Source organism: Homo sapiens, chromosome 3, assembly GCF_000001405.40.
Source record: "Homo sapiens chromosome 3, GRCh38.p14 Primary Assembly".
Classification (NCBI taxonomy): domain Eukaryota; kingdom Metazoa; phylum Chordata; class Mammalia; order Primates; family Hominidae; genus Homo; species Homo sapiens.
Window position 1 is genome coordinate 145927578 of NC_000003.12, and position 10768 is coordinate 145938345.

Here is a 10768-nt window from a genome sequence, read left to right on the forward strand (position 1 = left end):
CAGGTTGTCCCAATCTATAGATATCTGCACCTTTTCATTTTTGGATTATTTTTTGACTCTGTATATTGTAGAATCCTAATTGCATCATAAACAGTTCTTGTCCTTGGAGATGTAAATGAATTTTGTCTGGAGGAAATAAAACAATTCTCCTTCAAGAAGGTACATTTACATCACTTTAAAAAATTAATTTTGGGATGTGATAGCAGCCAAGATGGCCGAATAGGAACAGCTCCAGTCTACAGCTCCCAGCGTGAGCGACCCAGAAGACGTGTGATTTCTGCATTTCCATCTGAGGTACCGGGTTCATCTCACTAGGGAGTGCCAGACAGTGGGCGCAGGCCAGTAGGTGCATGCACCGTGCGCCAGCCGAAGCAGGGCGAGGCACTGCCTCACTTGGGAAGCGCAAGGGGTCAGGGAGTTCCCTTTCTGAGTCAAAGAAAGGGGTGACGGACGCACCTGGAAAATCGGGTCACTCCCACCCGAATATTGCGCTTTTCAGACCGGCTTAAAAAACGGCGCACCACGAGATTATATCCCACACCTGGCTCGGAGGGTCCTACGCCCACGGAATCTCGCTGATTGCTAGCACAGCAGTCTGAGATCAAACTGCAAGGCAGCAGTGAGGCTGGGGGAGGGGCGCCCGCCATTGCCCAGGCTTGCTTAGGTAAACAAAGCAGCCTGGAAGCTCGAACTGGGTGGAGCCCACCACAGCTCAAGGAGGCCTGCCAGCCTCTGTAGGCTCCACCTCTGGGGGCAGGGCACAGACAAACAAAAAGACAGCAGTAACCTCTGCAGACTTAAATGTCCCTGTCTGACAGCTTTGAAGAGAGCAGTGGTTCTCCCAGCACGCAGCTGGAGATCTGAGAACCAGCAGACTGCCTCCTCAAGTGGGTTCCTGACCCCTGACCCCCGAGCAGCCTAACTGGGAGGCACCCCCCAGCAGGGGCACACTGACATCTCACACAGCAGGGTATTCCAACAGACCTGCAGCTGAGGGTCCTGTCTGTTAGAAGGAAAACTAACAAACAGAAAGGACATCCACACCGAAAACCCATCTGTACATCACCATCATCAAAGACCAAAAGTAGATAAAACCACAAAGATGGGGAAAAAACAGAACAGAAAAACGGGAAACTCTAAAACGCAGAGCGCCTCTCCTCCTCCAAAGGAACGCAGTTCCTCACCAGCAACAGAACAAAGCTGGATGGAGAATGACTTTGACGAGCTGAGAGAAGAAGGCTTCAGACGATCAAATTACTCTGAGCTACGGGAGGACATTCAAACCAAAGGCAAAGAAGTTGAAAACTTTGAAAAAAATTTAGAAGAATGTATAACTAGAATAACCAATACAGAGAAGTGCTTAAAGGAGCTGATGGAGCTGAAAACTAAGGCTCGAGAACTACGTGAAGAATGCAGAAGCCTCAGGAGCCGATGCGATCAACTGGAAGAAAGGGTATCAGCAATGGAAGATGAATGAAATGAAGCGAGAAGGGAAGTTTAGAGAAAAAAGAATAAAAAGAAATGAGCAAAGCCTCCAAGAAATATGGGACTATGTGAAAAGACCAAATCTACGTCTGATTGGTGTACCTGAAAGTGATGGGGAGAATGGAACCAAGTTGGAAAACACTCTGCAGGATATTATCCAGGAGAATTTCCCCAATCTAGCAAGGCAGGCCAACGTTCAGATTCAGGAAATACAGAGAACGCCACAAAGATACTCCTCGAGAAGAGCAACTCCAAGACACATAATTGTCAGATTCACCAAAGTTGAAATGAAGGAAAAAATGTTAAGGGCAGCCAGAGAGAAAGGTCGGGTTACCCTCAAAGGGAAGCCCATCAGACTAACAGCGGATCTCTCGGCAGAAACCCTACAAGCCAGAAGAGAGTGGGGGCCAATATTCAACATTCTTAAAGAAAAGAATTTTCAACCCAGAATTTCATATCCAGCCAAACTAAGCTTCATAAGTGAAGGAGAAATAAAATGCTTCACAGACAAGCAAATGCTGAGAGATTTTGTCACCACCAGGCCTGCCCTAAAAGAGCTCCTGAAGGAAGCGCTAGACATGGAACGGAACAAACGGTACCAGCTACTGCAAAATCATGCCAAAATGTAAAGACCATCGAGACTAGGAAGAAACTGCATCAACTAACGAGCAAAATAACGAGCTAACATCATAATGACAGGATCAAATTCACACATAACAATATTAACTTTAAATGTAAATGGACTAAATTCTCCAATTAAAAGACACAGACTGGCAAATTGGATAAAGAGTCAAGAACCATCAGTGTGCTGTATTCAGGAAACCCATCTCACGTGCAGAGACACACATAGGCTCAAAATAAAACGATGGAGGAAGATCTGCAAAGCAAATGGAAAACAAAAAAAGGCAGAGGTTGCAATCCTCATCTCTGATAAAATAGACTTTAAACCAACAAAGATCAAAAGAGACAAAGAAGGCCACTACATAATGGTAAAGGGATCAATTCAACAAGAAGAGCTAACTATCCTAAATATATATGCACCCAATACAGGAGCACCCAGATTCATACAGCAAGTCCTGAGTGACCTAAAAAGAGACTTAGACTCCCAAACATTAATAATGGGAGACTTTAACACCCCACTGTCAACATTAGACAGATCAACGAGACAGAAAGTCAACAAGGATACCCAGGAATTGAACTCAGCTCTGCACCAAGTGGACCTAATAGACATCTACACAACTCTCCACCCCAAATCAACAGAATATACATTTTTTTCAGCACCACACCACACCTATTCCAAAATTAACCACATAGTTGGAAGTAAAGCTCTCCTCAGCAAATGTAAAAGAACAGAAATTATAAAAAACTATCTCTCAGACCACAGTGCAATCAAACTAGAACTCAGCATTAAGAATCTCACTCAAAGCCACTCAACTACATGGAAACTGAACAACCTGCTCCTGAATGACTACCGGGTACATAACGAAATGAAGGCAGAAATAAAGATGTTCTTTGAAACCAACAAGAACAAAGACACAACATACCAGAATCTCTGGGACGCATTCAAAGCAGTGTGTAGAGGGAAATTTATAGCACTAAATGCCCACAAGAGAAAGCAGGAAAGATCCAAAATTGACACCCTAACATCACAATTAAAAGAACTAGAAAAGCAAGAGCAAACATTCAAAAGCTAGCAGAAGGCAAGAAATAACTAAAATCAGAGCAGAACTGAAGGAAATAGAGACACAAAAAAACCCTTCAAAAAATTAATGAATCCAGGAGCTGGTTTTTTGAAAGGATCAACAAAATTGATAGACTGCTAGCAAGACTAATAAAGAAAAAAAGAGAGAAGAATCAAATAGACACAATAAAAATGATAAAGGGGATATCACCACCGATCCCACAGAAATACAAACTACCATCAGAGAATACTACAAACACCTCTACGCAAATAAACTAGAAAATCTAGAAGAAATGGATAAATTCCTCGACACATACACTCTCCCAAGACTAAACCAGGAAGAAGTTGAATCTCTGAATAGACCAATAACAGGAGCTGAAATTGTGGCAATAATCAATAGTTTACCAACCAAAAAGAGTCCAGGACCAGATGGATTCACAGCCGAATTCTACCAGAGGTACAAGGAGGAACTGGTACCATTCCTTCTGAAACTATTCCAATCAATAGAAAAAGAGGGAATCCTCCCTAACTCATTTTATGAGGCCAGCATCATTCTGATACCAAAGCCGGGCAGAGATACAACCAAAAAACAGAATTTTAGACCAATAACCTTGATGAACATTGATGCAAAAATCCTCAATAAAATACTGGCAAAACGAATGCAGCAGCACATCAAAAAGCTTATCCACCATGATCAAGTGGGCTTCATCCCTGGGACGCAAGGCTCGTTCAATATATGCAAATTAATAAATGTAATCCAGCGTATAAACAGAGCCAAAGACAAAAACCACATGATTATCTCAATAAATGCAGAAAAAGCCTTTGACAAAATTCAACAACCCTTCATGCTAAAAACTTTCAATAAATTAGGTATTGATGGGACGTATTTCAAAATAATAAGAGGTATCTATGACAAACCCACAGCCAATATCATACTGAATGGGCAAAAACTGGAAGCATTCCCTTTGAAAACTGGCACAAGACAGGGATGCCCTCTCTCACCACTCCTATTCAACATAGTGTTGGAAGTTCTGGCCAGGGCAATTAGGCAGGAGAAGGAAATAAAGGGTATTCAATTAGGAAAAGAGGAAGTCAAATTGTCCCTGTTTGCAGATGACATGATTGTATATCTAGAAAACCCCATCGTCTCAGCCCAAAATCTCCTTAAGCTGATAAGCAACTTCAGCAAAGTCTCAGGATACAAAATCAATGTACAAAAATCACAAGCATTCTTACACACCAACAACAGACAAACAGAGAGCCAAATCATGAGTGAACTCCCATTCACAATTGCTTCAAAGAGAATAAAATACCAAGGAATCCAACTTACAAGGGATGTGAAGGACCTCTTCAAGGAGAACTACAAACCACTGCTCAAGGAAATAAAAGAGGATACAAACAAATGGAAGAACATTCCATGCTCATGGGTAGGAAGAATCAATATCGTGAAAATGGCCATACCGCCCAAGGTAATTTGTAGATTCAATGCCATCCCCATCAAGCTACCAATGACTTTCTTCAGAGAATTGGAAAAAACTACTTTAAAGTTCATATGGAACCAAAAAAGAGCCCGCATCGCCAAGTCAATCCTAAGCAAAAAGAACAAAGCTGGAGGCATCATGCTACCTGACTTCAAACTATACTACAAGGCTATAGTAACCAAAACAGCATAGTACTGGTACCAAAACAGAGATATAGATCAATGGAACAGAACAGAGCCCTCAGAAATAACGCCGCATATCTACAACTATCTGATCTTTGACAAACCTGAGAAAAACAAGCAATGGGGAAAGGATTCCTTATTTAATAAATGGTGCTGGGAAAACTGGCTAGCCATATGTAGAAAGCTGAAACTGGATCCCTTCCTTACACCTTATACAAAAATCAATTCAAGATGGATTAAAGATTTAAACGTTAGACCTAAAACCATAAAAACCCTAGAAGAAAACCTAGGCATTACCATTCAGGACATAGGCATGGGCAAGGACTTCATGTCCAAAACACCAAAAGCAATGGCAACGAAAGACAAAATTGACAAATGGGATCTAATTAAACTAAAGAGCTTCTGCACAGCAAAAGAAACTACCATCAGAGTGAACAGGCAACCTACAACATGGGAGAAAATTTTCGCAACCTACTCATCTGACAAAGGGCTAATATCCAGAATCTACAATGAACTCAAACAAATTTACAAGAAAAAAACAAACAACCCCATCAAAAAGTGGGCAAAGGACATGAACAGACACTTCTCAAAAGAAGACATTTATGCAGCCAAAACACACATGAAAAAATGCTCAACTTCACTGGCCATCAGAGAAATGCAAATCAAAACCACAATGAGATACCATCTCACACCAGTTAGAATGGCAATCATTAAAAAGGCAGGAAACTACAGGTGCTGGAGAGGATGTGGAGAAATAGGAACACTTTTACACTGTTGGTGGGACTGTAAACTAGTTCAACCATTGTGGAAGTCAGTGTGGCGATTCCTCAGGGATCTAGAACTAGAAATACCATTTGACTCAGCCATCCCATTACTGGGTATATACCCAAATGACTATAAATCATGCTGCTATAAAGACACATGCACACGTATGTTTATTGCAGCATTATTCACAATAGCAAAGACTTGGAACCAACCCAAATGTCCAACAATGATAGATTGGATTAAGAAAATGTGGCACATATACACCATGGAATACTATGCAGCCATAAAAAATGATGAGTTTATATCTTTTGTAGGGACATGGATGAAATTGGAAGTCATCATTCTCAGTAAACTATCGCAAGAACAAAAAACCAAACACCGCATATTCTCACTCATAGGTGGGAATTGAACAATGAGATCACATGGACACAGGAAGGGGAATATCACACTCTGGGGACTGTGGTGGGGTGGGGGGAGGGGGGAGGGATAGCATTGGGAGATACACCTAATGCTAAATGACGAGTTAGTGGGTGCAGCACACCAGCATGGCACATGTATACATATGTAACTAACCTGCACAATGTGCACATGTACCCTAAAACTTAAAGTATAATAAAAAACAAAATTAATTTTGGCATTCCTGATTGCCTGAATATGATTATCTGCTCTTTGTGTTTTCCTTAAAACTGGTTTTAGGTGTTTTACGAGTGCCCTCATGTATTAATTTCCCAGGGCTGCTAAAGCAAAGTGTCACAAGCTTCGTGAGTTAAGACAAAATAAATTTATTATCTTAAAATTCTGGAAGCTAGAATTTTGAAATTAGGTGTCAGCAGGGCCACGCTCTCCATGAAAGTTCTAGGTGAGAATTCTTCCTTGCCTTTTCCTAGCTTCTGGTGGTTGCTGGCAATATTTGGCCTTCCAGAGCTTGCAGCTACATCAATCCAAACTAAGCCTCTGTTGTCACATGGCCGTCTCTCCTGTGTCTGTGTCCCTGCCTTCACATGGTCTTCTTATAAGGACACTAGTCATTTGATTTAGGCCCCAGCCTAATCCAGTATGACCTTATCTTAATTTGATAAATCTACAAAGACCCTATTTCCAAATAAAGTTATTTTCACAGGTATACAGATTAGGACTTCAACATATCTTTTTGAGGGCACGATTCAGCCCACAACACCTAATTAATTAACAAATTAAGTGAAACTTGTAACATGTTCATTTTATGTTTTGTTTGAATCATGGTTATACCTTGTGTGTGTGTGTGTGTGTGTGTGTGTGTGTGTGTGTGTATAATATATATATTTCAACAAAATTAACATTCTGTTAAAGAAGCATTAACCCCTCCCCCCCCAAACCCTTATATATTTTCAACAGCTAAAATCTAAACTGTGGACCTTCCAAGGACAGGGTCAATATCTTTCACTGTTTCATCCCCAACATGTAATGTCTAGTAAAATAGTACACACTTGGTAAACATCTGTTGGACTTAAACCAAAATAGGGGTATTTTAGTTTACTTTTATGTGTTTACTTTGTTAACAATCCATTCTACTCTCAGAAGATTTCACTAGTAATAATTCTTTCTTTGTAACAATTCAGCATAAAAAGGATGAATTGTTCAGGCCCTAAGGAGGTTGCCACCAGTGCTCCAGCTGTGAAGTCATCAGGCCTGAGTCAAAACAGCGTGGAGGAGAAAGAGCAAACTTGAGTATAATGTCAGAGGAAAAAAATTCAGAATTTGGTTATACGCATTAGGAAAGGTGAAGGAAGAATCTAGTGTGACACCAAAGTCTGGGATAAATAAAACAAGGATAAGGTGGTATCAATTTACCAGTGATAGAAAAAACCCTGTGATAGAAAAACTCTGTGATAACTCTAATATAATGAGAAAAACACATATCTGGACTCTGCCCCTGGTTCCTGGCACTTAGCTCCTAAACCCTTGGAGTCTCCCAAGTGGTAAGAGTTTTGTATGCTTATGAAATGACTGGCAGCTGGGGGGTCCCTGGACATCTTCAGGCTGAGGCTGGTCACCAGAAAGACCAAAGTCTGAGAAGAGGATTAGCACTTTCAGCCCCACCCTCCAACCTCCGGGAAGAAGAGAGGGGATACAGGTTGAGCTGATCACCAATGGCCAATGATATAATCAATCATGCCTAGGTAACAAAGCTTCCACCAAAAGGACAGAATTCAGACGGCTTCCAGGTTGGATAACACATAGAGAGGGCAGCATGCACGGAAAGGTCATGGAAACTCCATGCCCCTCCCCAGTATCTCCTTTATTGCATCTCTTCCATCTGGCTGTCCATCTGTATCCCTTGTAATATCCTTTCTAATAAAGGGGTAAACATAAATAAGTGCTTCCCTGAATTCTATGAGCTGCTCTAGCAAATTAATCAAGCCTGAGAAAGTGATTATGTGAACCCCCAATTTATCGCTGGTCCGTAAGAACCACAAGTCACAACCTAGAATTTGCGACTGGCATGTGAAGTAAGGGGTAGTCTTATGAGACTGAGCTTTTAGCCTGTGGGATCTGATGGTATCCAGAATGGAAGTGAATTAGAGGGTACTCACCTGGAATCTGCTGGATAATTGCTGGATGTGTGGGGGAAAATCCCTGACATTTGGTGTCTACAGTATCGTTTGAATGGTGTGTGAAAGTCGGAAACCATTTTGCTTTCCTTTCCATTCAGAAATAAACTCATAACATTTTAAAACCAGAGACTTTTTAGAGTCAAGCCTTTTTGTTTTATAGCATGTTAACTGATTTTCAGAGAAGTAGCCAAGTCACACAATCCAGCCAGTGGCACAACAGGACACCTTGACTCCCAAGAAAATGATATTATACCTAAATCTTGATTTCTCCCCATGAACATACCTTCGAGTTTTCTGCTATTAACAGGGTTTCCTACATATCAACCTTTCCCATCTACTCTCAAGTAGTAAAGAGAACACCAGAAGCAAGTAGTGCATACCCAGATTGGCATACTGTGTTAAGATTAAATTTTTCCCACTGGAATGGCTGTATCTGTAGCGTCATCATGCACTCCCCTTCTTTTGCATGAAGTAAGCTTTCACTCATCATTGCTCTACTGGCTTGGATCAGTGGAAAGAGCTATGTGATTCTTAACCTCTGATATTGCAGCGGAAATTCTTTATCTTTTCAGTTTCATCTTCCATCTTTTTTCTGTCTTGCTGGTCCACAGGTGGTGGGCCCTTATAAAATGTATCACCCAGATTTCTTGTTGTTTAGTTTTCAGTGGATTTGGCCAAAGGAAGGCATGGGCAGGAGATTATGGAGGGGAGGAGAAAGGTTGGGGTATTAGGGTAATTTTTTTTTCCCATAAATATATTTTTTGACCTCCCCACCCCCAGCACACAAGGTCAGTGTTTCCTGGCATTGCCTCCGTGCCGCTATGGTTGCAGCCCCTAAGAGGCGGTCCTTTATCCATGGTTCTACTTCTTACCAGGTCTTCAGTGCATTATTTTCTCCTTTTGTCCCTTCAGGCCTAGGAGTAATAACAGTTTTCCATTGATTCACAATGATCTTTGCTTGCCTCCATCTTACTCGTTGACTCCCTTGTCCCTGCCCTTACCTCGGCAAGCAGTCCTTACATTAAAGTCTTCAGTGGAACCATCTGAATGGAATTCTATCTCACACTGGGACACTGATAGAGTGATCTTTCAATAACATTCAACATTAATCAGCACTGAATTTTCAATACTTTAAATGCATGTGCACGTAATCATAAGCTACTTAAAGCTAGCTATTTGTAAAATAAAAGGTTAAATAAAAGAGTAAAAGAAAAAGTCAATGTTTCCAGATGGGTTTAATCATAGAATTCTGAGACATCCTTCTTACTCCATTTTTATGTATTTTTCTATGTTTACCACATTTGTTTTACTTTCTAAAGTCTTCTTTCATCTTTTTAATGACATCTTGATGAAGCGTAGATGTGTCATTATTATAGAGAACCTCAGAGTAATAGGCGGGTCTAAAAATAGCATATGCAGTAGTACGGAATTACACAATACCCTCTGTCTTTCAGTACCATACAATCACATGCATCAGTTCATGTAAGCGGTCAGAGGACCACCCGTGACTTCCAGTTTCCCAAATAGTAACTTTTTTTGAAAACTGCCTACGTATCTACAATATGTGTCTCTGGAAATAATACTAGGTAAAAGCATCTACAAAACAGTTAGACATAGAAAACCATTTTAAAAACCGAACCTTCTAATATGTGAGCCTGTGGAAGCCCTGGTCAGTTACTTGGAAAATCAACAAACTTACTTCTATTATGTTCATTTACTACTTTTTTTTTATGGAACAAGATTTGTTTCTCAATTTTCAATGTGGGTTTAATGACAAAGTGAGAAAACACATGTCTCATAGGGATTTTAACAAGAAGAAAAAAATTTAAATAACATAGAGGATACAGAAATGTTTTTGTTCGGGTTTTTTTTCCATTCCACCTCTTCATCACTTCTCAGACAAGGGGTAGAGTACATTATCCTGCAAATGAAGTAAGAAACTATAATTTTCATCCGTGCTCTCTTTAACTGTAGCAATGTATAAGAAACAACTTTTCTAGGATAGTATTTTCTCTGAGCGAGTTGGAATATAAATTTTTTAAGATCCCTTCCAGATTTTGATTTGCATATATACAAATATTTACCATCTTAGGGGAAGGCCTATGGGATTCTTAGTTTCATGGAAGGGAATTGCCTGGGTACAGAGAAGGGAGAATTTGATTGACATTTAAATACAGTTTTAAATGCTTAGTGGCTCCAAATAAATACATTCACTCCTTTAGTAGTAACATACTTCATTCAAACAGCTGTGGATGGCCACCTGCCATGCAAACATGGTCAGAGAACATGCAGGATCTACAGCTTTAGTTTCATTGTGAAGACCTTCCTCAGACTAGTTCCGTTCCTTCTGTCTATTAATAATGATGAGTCCAATCTCTCTTCACCCATTACCTAATGAAACTCTGAAAAAATGCCTTCCAGCTGTCTCTAGACTGGTACCTGAATTCTCTTGTGATCTCCAAGGGGGTTTATGCTCACCTTTAACCTTATAAAATATATAATTACTTAACCATCCTTTAACCTTTGATCCTTCCAACCACTTGGTAAATTTGTGCTGTACCTGTTAACATGCCTGATTCT

The 10768-nt window shown here is 40.5% G+C and overlaps 1 annotated feature.

Moving 5' to 3' along the window:
• Positions 506-1088: an enhancer, noted in NCBI's record as "H3K27ac-H3K4me1 hESC enhancer chr3:145645870-145646452 (GRCh37/hg19 assembly coordinates)". NCBI's record gives its function as "activates a minimal SCP1, AML or CMV promoter by ChIP-STARR-seq in primed H9 embryonic stem cells {active_cell/tissue: H9 hESC(primed)}" and the evidence as "EXISTENCE:reporter gene assay evidence [ECO:0000049][PMID:30033119]".